The 17,226-nt window shown below is 39.2% G+C and overlaps 1 protein-coding gene across 17 annotated transcripts in view; it reads right to left on the reverse strand.

The window, feature by feature from the left end:
• Positions 1-629: 629 nt before the first annotated feature.
• RGPD6 (RANBP2 like and GRIP domain containing 6) overlaps positions 630-17,226 on the reverse strand; it is a 97,255-nt gene continuing 80,658 nt past the window's right edge. For 10 of the 17 annotated variants that reach the window (NM_001384362.1, NM_001384363.1, NM_001386155.1 and 7 more), the window contains 3 exons: positions 13,093-13,232; positions 10,324-10,525; positions 630-2,473 (listed from right to left, as the gene is read on the reverse strand). In NM_001384362.1, the coding sequence (NP_001371291.1) occupies positions 2,439-2,473; positions 10,324-10,525; positions 13,093-13,232 (377 nt within the window). In that variant the 3' untranslated portion in view covers positions 630-2,438. Of the gene's footprint in view, positions 2,474-3,762; positions 10,526-13,092; positions 13,233-14,389; positions 14,910-16,026; positions 16,932-17,226 lie in introns of those variants that run through there. The other 7 variants (XM_047445731.1, XM_047445732.1, XM_011511770.3 and 4 more) reach the window with 5 other exon arrangements.

Genomic DNA, 17,226 nt, shown 5'->3' on the forward strand with positions numbered 1-17,226 from the left:
TCTGTTCCTCCTCCTTGTGGCATCTGTGTTTCTCTTTCTGCTCTGCCTCTCCCCATCTCCTAGTCCAAACATCCAAAGAAATAAATTACCTCCAGGAGATCGAGACCATCCAGGCTAACACGGTGAAACCCTGTCTCTAGTAAAAATACAAAAAATTAGCCGGGCATGGTGGCCGGCGCCTGTAGTCCCAGCTACTTAGGAGGCTGAGGCAGGAGAATGGCGTGAACCTGGGAGGCAGAGCTTGCAGTGAGCCGAGATCGCGCCATTGCACTCACGCCTGGGCGACAGAGCAAGACTCTGTCTCAAAAAAAAAAAAAAAAATTAATGACCTCTGCCCCTAACTGAACAAAGCCCTTCATCTAAGGCCACCCTTTGGTTGGCAGCCTTAGCCAGACATCTGCTTCTGGTCAAATCAATGTCTTGTCCACAGGGAGGCCCAGCGCTGTTTCTGGTTTTAGCTGGATGCAGGGTGTCAGACATGGCAGGTACTACGGTCTACCTGGCGGGTATCAAAGAGTTGGTCGACGTTCTCACAACAACCTAATAGGGACCAACCATGGAAGGCCAGTAGTAAAGGAGTTTGAAGTTCCCTTTCAGAAACCAATTAACAACCCCAAAGAGACAGTGGGTAACATAAAAGAGCAGCCATAAAAATATACAGTTTTAATAGAAATATTAAAATAATCATTACACTTCCTCTCATTGCAGAAACCATGAAAGAATATGCCTTTTGTAATCAAAGTAATTTTTTATCATGCAAAAAAGTATTTTGTTATGACATTCGTAAGTGGAGACTGTATTTCAAAACAAGTTTATACAGACTTCAAAAGGTCTAAAGTCAAAGTGAAATATATTTAAATATGATTAGTTACATCTAATGCAGCTGGCATACTCATATTCACAGTTTATAAAGTAAAAAAACTAAACTCTTCATGTCGGCTCTGAAATAGATGCATTTTCATTCATACATTCGCTAGTTAGGTCTGTTCTTCTAAGGAGGAAAGACGAGATATATGAGATATTTTTTAAAGAACAAACTCAACATATCAGCAGCAAATTTCAGTTAAACTAAATTGGAAACCAATGTTCTGTGTAACCAAAGTGCAAAGTCAGTTCCCCAGCTCAGAAAGAAAATTAAGAGTATAAACTGAAGGCTTAAGAGAACTTCAGAGAGCACACTGTGTGATTAATACATAAATATTAAAAATTATCCAATTTTTGATTTAAGAACAACACAGTTTGGATCTAGTCATTAAAACATATGCACAGGTGTCAAAGGCAAGTAACACTACCACCTAAGGTTATTCGGAGGAACTGTGAAGATGTAGCACGGACCTCTAAGGTGTCTAAAATCCCTTCTGATGGAAAGGTTATGGAACACTATCTGCCAAAAACACTGAAAGCACCACTTTTATATTTAGATCCAATGCTGAGTGATATAGTCACTGTTGGGATAGGTTTTTATTTGGGAAAATGGAGAGGATTCTCAAAACAGATTCATGGCTTGCATGCAGTGACACCCTATCAAGAGCCTGGAAAGACACCATGAAATCACCTCAACTCAAGTGGTGGGCCCACCTACTCATAGTCAGTGTTACACTAGCCAGCTCTAGGGCTCTGACAACATAATGAGTTTTGAGGTAGTATACTTTAAAGAAAAAAAGAAGAGTTTATTTTAAAGCAAATAACTAAACTGTATTTTAACTTAGCACAATTAACTGCAGCATATTTACTTCATAGCCCCTTAACATGTCACTTTTACCAACAAAGCTTTTTCCTTCATATTCTAATCACAAAAATTTCTCAACAATTTATAACAATCTGTAAATCTGACCTTGCAATAAATAGTCATAAAACGTTATTTTTATTACTATTATTATTTTTAGAGACAAGGTCTCGCTCTGTTCCCCGAGCTGGAGTGCAGTGGTACAATCACAGCTCACTAGCCTCAAGCGATTCTCCAGCCTCAGCCTCCCAAAGTAGTGGGATTTCAGGCATGAATCACCACACCTGGCCTTGAAACATTATTTTTAAAGCCTAAATTCCAGTTGGTATGGTACCAAAATTTAGTTTAACTTCAAAATTCACAGTACTGCCGAGAAATGGGCGGGTCCTGAGGTTCCAGAGAAGTGGGGAGTGAATTCATTCCTGGTGGTTTTATTCTGGCAGCATGCATGGGAGATCACATGAGTTAGAGGGCTGTGGCCTGGTATCAACACTTCAAGCTGTTGTACTTTTACTTCAAGTTGAAACTTTTAAAATACATCTGTCATACAGATGTACAAATATATGTAAATGCAAACATATATACACACTTTTTGACAAAAGAATAATGGTAACACACACGAACCATTTTTGTAAACAGATTCTATTTGGTTAATAGAAGTATTCCTTCCATCAACCTATCGAAGTCCAAACCAACTACGAAGATAGGATGCTCATCCAGAAGAACGGGAAGCATTTTCTTCCTCATCTTTAGAAAGTAAAACAAAGAAAAAAAAAAGAAAAAAGAGAGTATTAAAATTTCTCAATGTAAAATCTATATTTTAGAACCACTCTACAATATAAGCAAATAATGTCTTTTTTACTGATCACATGCCTTTTTTGGTGGGGGGGGGGGGTTCTTTTTTTTTTTTTTTTTTTGAGATAGGGTCTTGCTCTGTCACCCAGGCTCGAGTGCAGTGGCGTGATGAGACTTCAATGCAGCCTTGATCTCCCAGGCTCAAGTGATTCTCCCACCTCAGCCTCCCAAGCAACTGGGACCACAAGGTGTGTACCACCATGCCTGGGTAATTTTTTGTTTTTTTGTAGAGATGCAGGTCTCACTGTTTTCCAGGCTGGTCTCAAATTCCTGGGCTCAAGTGATCCTCCCACTTCAGCCTCACAGTGTTGGGATTGCAGTCACGAGCCACTGTACCCAACCATATGTCATTCTTTAGACACACTGCTTACTAAATTTCTCTTTTTAAAGGATATACTGAATTTCCGGTTGAGCCAACTTAACAGCTAATTTTCTATTTTAGCTTTAAAACATTGATAAGCAACATGAAGCAATCTAGAACTTAACCTTTAAATGGCTTTATTAAAGCAATCCAGCTATGAAAATTATGCAGAAATGATTATCTACAATCTTACCAGCACATAAGAAATTCTTCCTCTATTCTGAAATACCATCTTCTCACAATATACTTTGATGTTATGAATCAATGTCTGTTCTTGAACATTATTTATTGTCTTTCTCTATTAAACAATTCCAAAATAAAATTTCCAGCACAACTAAATATTGTTGACGATAAGGGGATTTAAAAAAAAATTCTTTTAAAACAGAAGCTTATATACAACTTAGAATCTAAAACCAATAGATTTATGGGAAACCTTAAAACTGAACCACAACAAACAAAAACCAAAGTTTTAATCATTTAAAAATCATGTTTATTGAGGTACAACTTACTTATAGTAAAACCTGCCCTTTTCAGCATATAGCACTGAGTCTTGACAAATGCACAGTTACGTACCACCACCGACCAAGGCCTGGCACATTTTCATCTCCTCAAAGTTCTCCCTGGCTGCTTCTCCCACTCCTTGGCAACCGCTAACCTGTTTTCTGTCCTTATAGTTCTGCTTTTTTCAGTGTCATATAAGTAGAATCACACTGTACATAGTATTTTGAGTCTGACCTCTGTCAACTGGCATAATGCATTTGAGAATTACCCATGTTGCTGAACTGGCAGTGCATTCTTTTTTATTGCTGAGCAGTATTCAATTGCACGGCTGTACCAGTTTGTTTATTCATTTGCCAGTTGAAGGATAACTGAGATCTTCCTCGTTTTTAGCAATTTTAAAGAAAGTTTCTACGAATAATTGTGTACAGGTTTTTAATTAAATGTTTTGGAGATATAATTCATATACCACATAATTCACCTTTTTAAAGTGCATAATTCACTGGTTTTTAATATATTCACAAGGTTTGTGCATAGGTTTTTGTGTGAATACTGGTTTTCATTCCTCTTGGATAAAGATTTAATTTGGTATTACCCTTCCAGACACCTTTCTGTGTTTTCATACGTATATATGTATGACAGTTTGACCTTAGGCAGAGTAGCATTTTCAAAATTTTACATGGGGAAACTTTCTAGAGTTAAAGTCATTTTATTTTTCTGTTCTGTCTGGTTTTATCTGCGTGTTATTTACAATCTGCTGCGTAACAAATTACTACAAACTTAGTACCTTAACACATATTTATTTCACAGTTTCTGTGGGTCAGGAGATCAGAAATGGTTCTATTTCAAGGTCTCTCACAGGGCTGCAATCAAGATGTTGGCATGGCTGGGGTCTCATCTGAAGGCTGGACTGGAGAAGAATCTACTTCCAAACTTATGTGGTAGTTGGAAGAATTTAGTTCCTCAAGGCTGCTAAACTGATGGCCTGTGTTCCTTGCCTCTGGGATGGTAGCTTGCTTCAACAAAGTGTGCAAGCAGAGAAGACAGAGAGAGGCCGCTAGCAAGATAGAAGCCACAATCTCTTGTAATCTATCATTCTTGCTGTATTCTACTGGTTAAACATAACTCATTAGGTTAGCCTACTGGCTCTCAAGGGGAAGAGATTATACAAAGGCATGCATTTCTGGAGGAGGGAATGAGGGCAAACAATTCTGAAAAGTCTGTCTTCCACAACCTGAAGAACTTCTAGAAAGTAGGAGGAAGCGATATTGCTTAGGGATGGACAACTTGGCACTGGTTATGTGTTCCAAGTGAGGTAACCTTGTTCCCAAGAATAAAGAGAACCAGACGACTGTAAACATTTCCCTAAACTGAAATGCAGACTGTTGTATGTTCACCTGAAATGAATGGTGTAAGCTGAATATAAGATTTTTGACAAAATAAAAATTTTGCTGTGTTCTCAGATCTGGCAGGCTCCTGCCCTTGTGCAAACAATGTTCCTGGCAGCTATTCATCTCCTTAGGTAAATAAGAATTGGAGAAAAGCTGTGCTTAGATAGGGTGCATTTGCTCTTGCCTTGGAAGGCTGTTTTCTGATAAGGTTCTATATCCTCTGCAAATCAAATCAGGCACTTACAGTGTGAGTATGCATTCTCTTCCTGCCAGTCTGGAGATGATCAAAAAGCCTATAACAGGCTTGGCCTATTTTCCTATTGGGTTGCTGGGCTTTTTTTCTTTATTTACTTGTAGAGAGTTTTAGACCTCTGTGTATGTATGGTGTACAAGTGACAATATTCAGATCTGTAAACTGTAACCCAGTCTGGGAGCAAAGAAGATATACAAAAATGACTTTTACTTCCAGCTTGAGTAGTAAAATTGAGATTCAAATTTTGCATATAGAAGTACTATATGGCTAACTTATTTGGGGAGCAAAGCTGACTTACCATAAGTCTATCTCAAATAGAAATGAAACACTCAATTTGTGAAATATGCTGAGTTTTAATGCGTGTGGGGGCAGGGTGAATTAACATTTGTGATGCAAGGAGAAGAGCAATCTATACTTACCACTGTCTATTTGACATTGGGGACTACTGCTACACTCTAAGTCATTTTACCTTATAACGCAGAGTTGTAACATGCTACTCTGAGCAGCTCATGACATCTGCTTGAAATTTAAGTTGGGCCCCTAATATGTGTTTATTATAAAGATTTTGATGCTGCTTTTCAGAGTTGGGTAACCTACTTTACCCTCCTAAGCTAATGTTTCCCAAATACACCCAAACCCACAGAAAGGAAAACTATTCCTCATTAACTCACAGCCAACATCATAAACATTTTATATCTAGAGCTGATGATACAGTCAGGTATTTACCAACACTCATGTATGTATGTAGAGTTTCAAGAAATAATTGCTTATCCTTACCAGATTCAACATATTCTAACGTTTCACATATTATTTTTATTTCTTAATATTTTTTTAAAGATGGGGTTTTACTCTGTTGCCCAGGCTGAAATGCAGTGGCGTGACCAGGATTTCGACCAGAAGTTTGACTGCAGCCTCGAACTCCTTCTAACAAACAATCCTGCTGCCTTAGCCTCCCGAGTAGCTAGGACTATGGGCACATGCCACCAGATCTGGCATATTTTAAAATTTTTGTAGACATAGGGTCTCGCCATGTTGCCCAGGCTGATTCTGAACTCCTGTTCTCAAGCAATCCTCCTGCCTGGTCTTCCCAAACTGTTGGGCTTACAGGTGTGAGTCATTGAGCCCAGCTTGTATTCTTTTGATTTAAAAAAAAAATATCCTGAATGTGATCCACCAAATTAATTTCACCATCCACTAATAGGTAGCAACCTGAATGAAAAATACTGTTATAAACTTTACACAAAACCAGAGATTATAAACATTTGCCTCCAAGGAGATGAGAGAGGCAAAAGGTACTTGTTTGCTCTGATGGGCCCTGTTTCCTTCAGTGCCAGGAAGAGTGGCTCTCAGACCTTTCTTCTGGCATCCCTCATGTATGCAGTGTTGGTTATTATTTTCAAGGCCTTGGTAACAAAATGCCCCTAGTGTGACCAGTCAGACTGACAGTCCATATCTGTAATATGGTGGTAAGTTTCCTTTGCATGTCTTTCTTTCTAGCATCTTAGACCTTTTACCTAGGAAATTTTCTTTTTGCTTGAAGTACATCATTAAGAATTTCCAGTGAAGGCAGATTCTTAAAGTTTTTGTTTTCCAGAAGAGATCTTGGAAAATATAAAAGGTTGGCAGTTATTTCTTTTAGTACATGAGATAGTATTACACCAATGCTGTTGAGAAGTCTATTGTGAGGCAATGTGTCTTCTTTCTCTGGCTGCTTTTGAGATTTCTCTCTGTCTTTTTTAGGGGCAGTTTTACTCTTATGTGACTAGAAGTAGATTTCTTCTTTTTTTTTTTAATACTGCTTGAGATTTTATTGGGTTTTTGAATCTGTGGATAGATATCCTTCAACAGTTCTGAAAGATTTCCAGCCATTCTCTTCATATATTATCTGTGCTGTATTCTCGTCTCTCCTTTTAGAACTTCGATTAGTAAAAACATGTTTGATGTCTTTTCCCACTCTTGTTTTTTGTTTCTCCCATGCTGAATTCCGTGTAATTTCTTTTGAACCATCTTGTAGTTTACATTCTTTTTTTTTTTTTTTATTTTTTTTTTTTTTTTTTTTTTTTTTTGAGATAGGAGTTTTGCTCTTGTTGCTTGGGCTGGAGTGCAATGGCACCATCTCGGCTCACTGCAACCTCTGCCTCCTGGGTTCAAGCAGTTCTCCTACCTCAGCCTCCCAAGTTGCTGGGATTACAGGCATGCGCCACCACGCCCGGCTAATTTTTGTATTCTGAGTAGAGACGGGGTTTCACCATGTTGGCCAGGCTGGTCTCGAACTCCTGACCTCAGGTGATCTACCCTCCTCGGCCTGCCAAAGTGCTGGATTACAGGTGTGAGCCACCGCACCAGGCCTTACATTCTCTCTCTTAAAGAGAGAATGTAAGGTATCTAAATCTGCTGCTAAACCATCATTGTTTTTAATTGTAATAAGGTCTCTTTTATGTACTCACATTGATAAGAGACAAGTAGGAAATAATCTTTAAAGGGCAAACTAATGTAAATGTGTTTTCCTGTCTGTTTACAGGACTTAGCAAATGCACATCTTAGAGTTCTGGGTTTCTAATGTGTATCTCCTCTATGAAATTCTTTAAAAATATCTGTTATTGGTATCCCTTAGGTTAGTCTCTTTTAGAACTTCTAAATCAATGGACCCTTAACTTATAGGAGCCACCTGGACGTTAGCAACACCTACATTAAACATGCTGAGCTTTTAAAAGAGGCCTGTTAGACATGCTGAGTATTTTGAGATAGTATCATTGTTGTATTGAAAACTATTGAAAACTTTAATTTTAAAATGCAAACGTTCTTAAAGTCCTGGTTAATTTTATAACTATAAAATTAGTTATAATTTTGAGATTTCTGTCTTGTTTTTTATAAGGGCAGTTTTACTCTTAGGTGACTAGAAGTAGATTTCTTCTTTTTTATAACTATAAAATTAGGTTTACTTTTGTTAGAATAAATTAAAGACAGTGAATTTGTAATTTGAATAAGTATTAAAAATATACATGATGTATTCTTATTTGGGCCCTTGTGACAAAAATACTATTGTGGCTATAGAAACCTATCCTATAGTTTGAAGAACTGAGATTACTGTCAGTATTGAGAACATTCCTCCTTCATCATTAGAAAGATTATTAAAAACCAGATTCAAAGAAACTATCAATACTACTTATGAAGTATGTCTGTAAAAAAAATTAAGCCTGAATCTTATCAGGCCTCTAGACCGGGGGTTCTCAAGGTATGGGCCCCAGACCAGAAGCATCAGCAACAAATTGCTAAAAATGCAGAATCTTGGGTCAGAAATTGGGGACCAGCAATTGGAATTTTAGTAAGTATACCAGATGATTCAGATGCCTGCTCAATTTTGAGGATGACTCTTATCAGTTTAGTTATTAGGGTTTACAGGGGATGGGGAACATGTTAAAGAACACCAACTAGATAAGGTCAATCAGTCAAAAGTAAGTTGTCTGGACATTCTGGGCCTCCTCATGTCTTAGAAAGCACACAATACCATCTATGATGTATTTTTGTCCACCATCCCACCCAATTGCACCTGGATCTTCCTATTTATAGGCAATTGGAACAAGCTCAGTGTTACCCTGTAATGATTAAAACCCAAATATAGAACTGCTATAGCATAAATGACCACTTTCTTCAATTAATAAGTGGCACATTAAAAATATACTTATATATATAATTGTTATAGATAAAAAAACAACAAAATGGCTGGGTGTGGTGGCTCACACCTGTAATCCCAGCACTTTGGGAGGCCAAGGCGGGCAGATCACAAGGTCAGGAGATTGAGACCATCCTGGCCAACATGGTGAAACCTCGTCTCTACTAAAAATAGAAAAATTAGCTGGCGTGCGTCTGTAGTCCCAGCTACTTGGGAGGCTGAGGCAGGAGAATCACTTGAATCCGGGAGGCGGAGGTTGCAGTGAGCCATGATCGGACCACTGCACTCCAGCCAGGGTGACAGAGCAACACTACGTCTCAAACAAACAAAAACACAACAACAAAATAAAGCTTAAGGAATATCAACCAAATGCAATATATGAGCCCTATTTAGGATACTATAAAAAGACATTCACAATAACACAGGCAAAATGAACATAAACTAGGTATAGGTGACAGAGAAATCCAATAAACATTGAATTATTCACTGGGGAAAGAAATGATGTGTGGGATTTAAGTCTCTAACTCTCCCCTAGTTACGCCAAAAGATTGTCCATGAGTTGAAAACTGTTAGAGATGGGTGACAACTCAAGAGAGATTATAGCGTCTTCCTTGTGCTTGTAAATGTCAAAAATAAAAGTAATTTAAAACTAAAACAAAAACGAAACCATAATTCTTAAGATGCAGCTTGAATTCAGTTAACTATAGCAGTTGTATATGAAGCATTTCAAAGAAGTTAATGACATCACAGTATTAAATCCATCTGACATGGAAACCAACTCTAACTACATCATAGTTTTTTGTTTTTTTTTTTTGAGATGGAGTCTCGCTCTGCCATCAGGCTGGAGTACAGTGGCGTGACACATCACTGCAACCTCCGCCTCGTGAGTTCAAGCGACTCTGCTGCCTCAGCCTCCTGAGTAGCTGGGACTACAGGCGCATGCCACCACGTCCAGCTAATTTTTGTATTTTTAGTAGAGACGAGATTTCACCATGTTGGCCAGGATGGTCTCGGTATCTTGATCTTGTGATCCGCCTGCCTCGGCCTCCCAAAGTGGTGGGATTATAGGCGTGAACCACCGGCGCCTGGCCTATGGCACAGTTTTAAAACTGCATTTGCCTAGAAAGTGGACTGCTGTATATAGACCAAGTGTTGGGCTCTATGGCTCCATTGTCTTAGGCTATTTGGGGTTGGAGGAAGGAAGAGGCGTGAAGTAGAAAAGGAACAAGCTAATAAATGTTTTTTAAAAAGTAGAATTTAAAACAAAACCACGTTCAGCTGAACACCAGAACTCAACCCCAGGATAAAAATCCAATTTTCAAAGAGCTAGAAGATCAAGCTAAGCACTTATTGTATTTTGCTGAACGTTAAAATTATATAAATGTACTACAGTTGCCTCAAGATGTTAAAAAGTCAGCTTTTCAAATCTAGTCACGGCCTACTCATATGACAGACCCAATTCAAATGAGCAAAATTGAAAAGTTACACATACAGACAACTTCTCAACCACCAGGCTGTTTAGTTTAAGTTAGAAGTCAGAAGTTCTGAGACTCTCCTTTTACCCACCTTGAGCAACCGCAGCAAGTTTTCCCTTTTCTTCAGGGCTGAGCTGCAACATCGTATTTATAACAGGAAGAAGTCTCTCTCTTTCACTACCTGGCTTCAAGAAAATGAACTGCAGCAAGACGTTCTTCAAGTATTCCAGGTTAGCTGCAGACTTCTCTCGCTCTTGATTCCTTTCCAATCTTCTTATTTCACTTTTGAGAAGCTGGTGTTAGAGAAATGAGTTAAAAATGGGCTTTAGGAGCTTCTGATTAAATATGGCAGACTGAACTCATGTATTTTTCTTCTCTTCCCCCCAAATTTCCCCCTTCCCTCCATATGGCAATAAAGGAAGGAATTCAGTTAACTACAGCAGCTGCATGTGAAGCATTTCAAAGGAGTTTATGACATCACCGTATAAAATCCATTTGACATGAAAACCGGAACTCCAACTATGAGATAGTTTCAAAGCTGCATTTGCCTAGAAAGTGGATTGCTGCATATGAACCAAGTGTTGGGCTATAGGACTCCATTGTCCTAAGCTATTTGGGGTTGGAAGGAAGAGGGGCGAAGTAGAAAAGCAACAAGCTAATACAAGAGGAGAAAAAGTAGATGAGACACATCAAGAAATTCTCACGAGAAACAGATGAAGAGGTGGAAATGAGTCAGTCCAGCAGCTTACCAAGTATCACTGACAAGAGGAGAGGATGCATCCTGTGTAAATACTGGGGTTCTTGTCTCAGAAGCACAGGGTATCATGGAAATGGAGTTGAAAGCTGGGGAACTGATGGAACGTCTCCATGAGGAGCAACTAACTGGAGCCATGGGTTGGTACCAAGATGTTCCCTCTGCCTTCTACTTTCGATAGAAACTAAGCCAGTATGGCATGGGGCTCTGAAAATGGGCTGAGGGGAACATCGGCAGCCTCCACTAACCCCCTGCCCCTACCCTGTTCCTAAAGTCCCAGGCAGTTAAGACGTCCACAGTGAACGGCACTTAATCAAAACAAAAGTTCAGACACAGTGAAAATTCAGGAATATAAGACAATGTAAAACACTATCAGAGAAATGAGGCAAAGAACACTATAAAAAAGGTAATATCATGTTCAAGTCTTTGAGGAAGATTTCCAGGTTGAAACCAAGCCATAGCTTTTAGTATATTTTCATTTTAGGTTAGGCAAGAAAGTTAGCGAACTTTGTCCTCAAACCTAGGACCATTTAAAAAAGTGACAATAAAGAAGACGAAGAAATCATGAAGAGAGTACAAATTTATGAAAATATAACATTTGGCCAGGCGTGGTGGCTCATGCCTGTAATCCCAACACTTTGGGAGGCTGAGGCAGGCAGATCACGAGGTCAGGAGATTCAGACTGTCCTGGCCAACATGGTGAAACTGTGTCTCTAGTAAAATAAAAAAAATTAGCCGGGCATGGTGGTGCATGCCTGCAGTCCCAGCTACTCGGGAGGCTGAGGCAGGGGAATCGCTTGAACCTGGGAGGCGGAGATTGCAGTGAGCTGAGATTGCACCACTGCACTCCAAACCTGGTGACAGAGCGAGACTGTCTCAAAAAAAAAAAAAAAAAGAAAATATAACATTTAAATAAGTCATTTAGGTTTACTGGGCTAGTTAGTGATTTGTTAGCTATGATAATGTTTTTATTAGTGGGAAAATGTTATTTTATAGAGATGCATACTGAAGTATTTAATGGTGGAATGTCATGATATATACAATTTACTGAAAATAACTGAATTCGGCTTTAAAATAATCTGACAAGGATAGCTAGTGGCCTTGCACAGTGGCAGGACAGATCTATTAGGAGCAGCAAAGTACAGGGGAAAAGCATGTACTTTTCAGACAGCTATGAGTTTGAATTTTGTTCCACCATTTACCAGCTTCAATTTTTCTCTCAACCAGTGATGAGATTAAATAACGTATGTAAAGCCCAGGGCCTGGGTCATAAGAACTCCTCAACAAGCAGTATGACTATATTCTGAGGGGTGATTTATCAGTGAGCCAGGGTGGAAAAACCTCATTTGAGTAATCCTCAACTGTTCTGCAACATTCCTAGATGTTTCTGGTGTCTACTTTAAACAGGAAAAACTTCCCATGCCACTTTGCCATCTCCACCTGAAAACTGTTTAGTAGTTCAGTACTATAAATATCAGTTGAATAATTTAAATTCACTGGTTATCTTTAGAATTCAAAGACTCACACCCATTTTTTATTTAAGCATATGTGAACAATGATTTGTGAACATCTCTCTAGTTTCTAAATCTATTACGGTTTCTTAGGAAAAGTAGGAATTAAGAAATAATCTTTATGTAATAGGTGTAAAAGAAGTATTTTGGCTGGATGCGGTGGCTCACACCTGTAATACCCGCACTTTGGGAGGCCAAGGCAGGTGGATCACGAGGTCAGGAGATCGAGACCATCCTGGCTAACATGGTAAACCCTGTCTCTACTAAAAATGCAAAGAAATTAGCCAGGCATGTTGGCGGGCACCTGTAGTCCCAGCTACTCGGGAGGCTGAGGCAGGAGAATGGCGTGAACCTGGGAGGTGGAGCTTGCAGTGAGCTAAGATCGTGCCACTGCACTCCAGCCTGGGTGACAGAGCAAGACTGTCTCAAAAAAAAAAAAAAAAGGCAATATTTCTCACCATCAGGAATCTAATATAAAGATCAAGACGTTATAGATGCATCTGCAATGTGAATTTTTAAACTTGGGTGCATGTGTGTGGAGGGTCCAGAAAACCAAACTGGCGGTTTTCACGGTGGCCAGGTTTTCTGATCTCACCTTAATTTGCTCCATAAGGACTGCATTGGTTGCCTCTATTTCCCGAAGCAGGCCGTTTAAGTGATCTGCACTTTTTGTGGTGGAACGGAGCTTCTGAACCAATTCTTCTTTGGTAAATTCAGCATGCCATAATGGAGGCTCTGCAAGATGTTGTTCCAAGAATTAATTTTCAAAATCATACATTACAGATGAAGATTCTAAATAAGAAAAATCTAAATATAAATATCTTACTATGTGATATTTTATAGGTCTGCTTTCTTTGCCATTCATCTATTCAGCATACCTCAATCAACAGATTATATGTTGTAGGTGACACAAATAAAACAGTATCTCTGTTGTAAAGCATGTAATCTAACTGAATAAAGCCCTATGAATCCCAGTTCTGAAATTTGTCAGAATTGTGTTTATAGACAGTTTTATTACACATCTTCTTCCCATCTATTAATATTCCAAGATTTTATGTCATTTCACGTATAAGGAAAGCATTAACATTTACTGGTCACGTATCATGTTCCCTCATAAGAATCTTCTATCAGGCGGGGTAGGTATCATTATTCAAACTTTACAGATGATGAAACAGGCTCACAGTTGACAGGTAATTTTTTCAGAAATCACAAAGTCAAATTGGCTTCTGGAGTCTGCTGCTCTATCATGATGCCTCCGTGTCACCACTATTAACTTTGCCTGAAGGAACCATGACTTGCAGTTTCTACCCCACGTGGTCAGTGACCATGAATACAAATGACCCTTACTCCAGGTGATTCTGAAGTTTCAGGAAGATGACAGATTCCCCCTAAATTTTGAACAGTAATATTAATTACAAGTAATAAAATATACCAAAACATCACTACAAAAATTTAGCATTACTTCATCAAGAGGAATAAACTGAAACTGTCAGTTTCTTGGAAGGGTGAGAGGATAGTTTATCCTGCTTTCTAATACCCACCACCTATTTGTGACTATAAACTTCCCACCACTTATTTATGGTTCAAGCCTAGGGCAAGAGCTAGCATTTTATTTTAAAAAAGATTTGTTTAATAATTTTTCCATTTGGACAGTGTGATGGTTAATACTGGGTGTCAACCTGATTGGATTAAAGGATGCAAAGTATTAATCCGAGTGTTGTCTGTGAGGGTGTTGCCAAAGGGATTAACATTTGAGTCAGTGGGCTGGGGAAGGCAGACCCACCCTTAATCTGGTAGGTGCCATCTAATCAGCTGCCAGCGAATATAAAGCAGGCAGAAAAACCTGAAAAGGCGAGACTGGCCTAGCCTCCCAAGCTACATCTTTCTCCTGTGCTGGATGCTTCCTGCCCTTGAACATCAGACTCCTAGTTCTTCAGTTTTGGAACTTGGACTGGCTCTCATTGCTCCTCAGTCTGCAGATGGCCTAGTGATCGTGTAAGGTAATACTTAATAAGCATCCATCCATCCATCCCATCCATCCATCCAACCATCCAATTAGTTCTGTCCCTCTAGAGAACCCTAATACAAACAGGTAGTGGAATATTGAAAGAAATTTTATTGGAGCAGCCCAAAAAAGCATATGTACCTTAGAGTAATAGTAATTAAATAAGACAGTGAAATTAAAGAAGAAGAACATATTTAGACAGAGTAACAGACCAAGTTTAGTTTCGGGAGAATTAAGCAGCTGCTCTAAAGACTGTGTGTATGTGCTGGCGGAAGACACAGACTCCGTATCAGTTGTCTCCATGCCTTCTCCCTCTTCCTGGGTTACAGTGTGCATGTCTAGAAGCGGGAGGTCTGTGTTTCTCCTTTCTCGAAGGTTCTTCAAAGATTGTTGAGAGGAAACTGGGCCTATTAGATTTTTTTTAAAGGTTAAGTGTGAGATTGTTCAAAATCTATTGATTCGGCCTTACAGAGGTACACAATAAAATGAAAATATCAAATGATAAGAGTAGAGGAATTAAGTAACTATAAGTGAAAGGTGTATGAAGAATTGCTAAAACATTTCTTAAAATTTAGTCATCAAGGCCGGGCGTGGTGGCTCAAATCTGTAATCCTAGCAGTTTGGGAGGCTAAGGTGGGTGGATCACGAGGTCAGCAAGTTCAAGACCAGCCTGGCCAAGATGGTGAAACCCTATCTCTACTAAAAATACAAAAATTAGCCAGGCACAGTGGCAGGTGCCTGTAATCCCAGCTGCTGGGGAGGCTGAGGCAGAGAATTGCTGGAAACCAGGAGGCGGAGGTTGCAGTGAGCCAAGATCACGCCACCGCACTCCAGCCTGGCGACAGAGCGAGACGCCAGCTCAAAAAAAAAAAACAACAAAAAAAAACTTACTCATCAAACTTTTAACTACGTTAGTCATTTTAATAGCAGCTATAAATTAATTGCTACTAGCTAAGATAAACTGTTAGATAACACAGCTCATAATATAGTACTACTTATTTTTTATTAATTTAGAGTAGAGGGCCAAACTACTGCTAAATACTGGCCAAAATTAAAAGACTAGATTCTAGAAATTTTTCAGGATTAGGTATTTCAGATTGCTGCATACTTCTTGAAACACACTTGCTGAAATCTGCTTGGTAGACATCCTCAATCACTGCCCTTATACCTTTACCTCTGCAGCTTCTTAATTGTTGCTGCTCACACCTACAGTGCTCATACAGTTAAGAGCCCAGAATCCAGGGCACGGAACTAATCAATTACATTGCCTAGCAAGACTTTCCTGTTTGCTGATAAACTGTAAAGTGTTATTTTTTCTGAGACAGGGTCTCACTCTGTCACACAGGTTGGAGTGCAGTGGCACGATCTTGGCTCACAGCAACCTCTGCCTCCCAGGCTCAGGCCATCCTCCCACCTCAGCCCCACAAGTAGCTGGGACTTCCAGGTGCATGCCATCCCGCCCAGATAATTTTTGTACTTTTAATAGAGATGGGATTTCACCATGTTGTTCAGACTGGTCTCAAACTCCTGGCCTCATGTGATCCAACTGCTTTGGCTCCCAAAGTGCTCAGATTGCAGGGGTGAGACACCACGCCTGGTCTAAACTGTAAAGTTTACCAGGCCCTTTGACATGTATTGGTTTATTGACTCCCAAAAATCTGAAGTTCAGAGAAATTTAATGACTTTGCCCAAGGTCTCATAACTGAGTTAGAAACCAGAATTGTAATCTAGATTTTTATTTAAACTTCAGATTTCATTTATTTTGCATTTCATTAAATTGCCTTAGTCCTGACTGCCCTTTCTGAAGCATTTTCCTGGGTTTCTGGTAAGCTGACTGCTTATTCCACTGCTGATTGCTAGATTACAATCTCTTGTGCGACCTTTGCCCTGGCTGATTACTTCCTTTGTTGATTCTTTGGCATATATTAAATTCTTCTGAAGTTGCTTTTTTACCCTAATAAGTGACCGATAGCTGCTAATGCTCCAGTGACAATATTTCCCATGGGAAACCAAAACACCATCAACTTGCTACTAAAATACTGCATCATCATGGCTGACATTTTTCCATTTCTTCCTGGAAGCAGAATGGAAGATACTGGGTACGGCTGAACTAAAACTCCAACTAATTGTAAATGTGAAAGCAAAGAAGCTATATTGGTTATGCAATTCTACACATTCAGTGCCGCTTGAGTGTTTCTAAGTTCCTTGCTCTAGCTAATGTTTCTATTTAAAAAGTAGACAAATTTGATGACTAACAACGGAGAACACGAAACAAATCTGGTGAATACCAGAATTAAGACATGTGTCAGCCAGGCGCAGTGGCTCATGCCTGTAATCCCAGCACTTTGGGAGGCCGAGGCGGGTGGATCACGAGGTCAGGAGACCGAGACTATCTGAGGGAGAATCTTCAGGTTTTTTCTTCTCTTTTGCTGTAACACCAGTCAAAAAAGTTGACAAAGATAAGGTATTAAGTATTGACGTTAATACTCTACCTGAAAATAAAAACCATGGAACCTATCTATAGGTTAAAACAGCATACTGATAAAAAACACATATACTTTGATGCAGAGATGTACGATAATCATGAATTAGAATTAGCATCCTGATTTAGTGTTCTACCAAAAACCCTAAGTGAACACAGAATCTATTTAAAACCAAAGAAAACAAAAAAAATCTTGTGTTTACTTAATAGTCATTGAAAAGAATTACTACAAAATTTCTAGA

The sequence above is a fragment of the Homo sapiens genome, chromosome 2 (genome assembly GCF_000001405.40).
Source record: "Homo sapiens chromosome 2, GRCh38.p14 Primary Assembly".
Classification (NCBI taxonomy): Eukaryota; Metazoa; Chordata; class Mammalia; order Primates; family Hominidae; genus Homo; species Homo sapiens.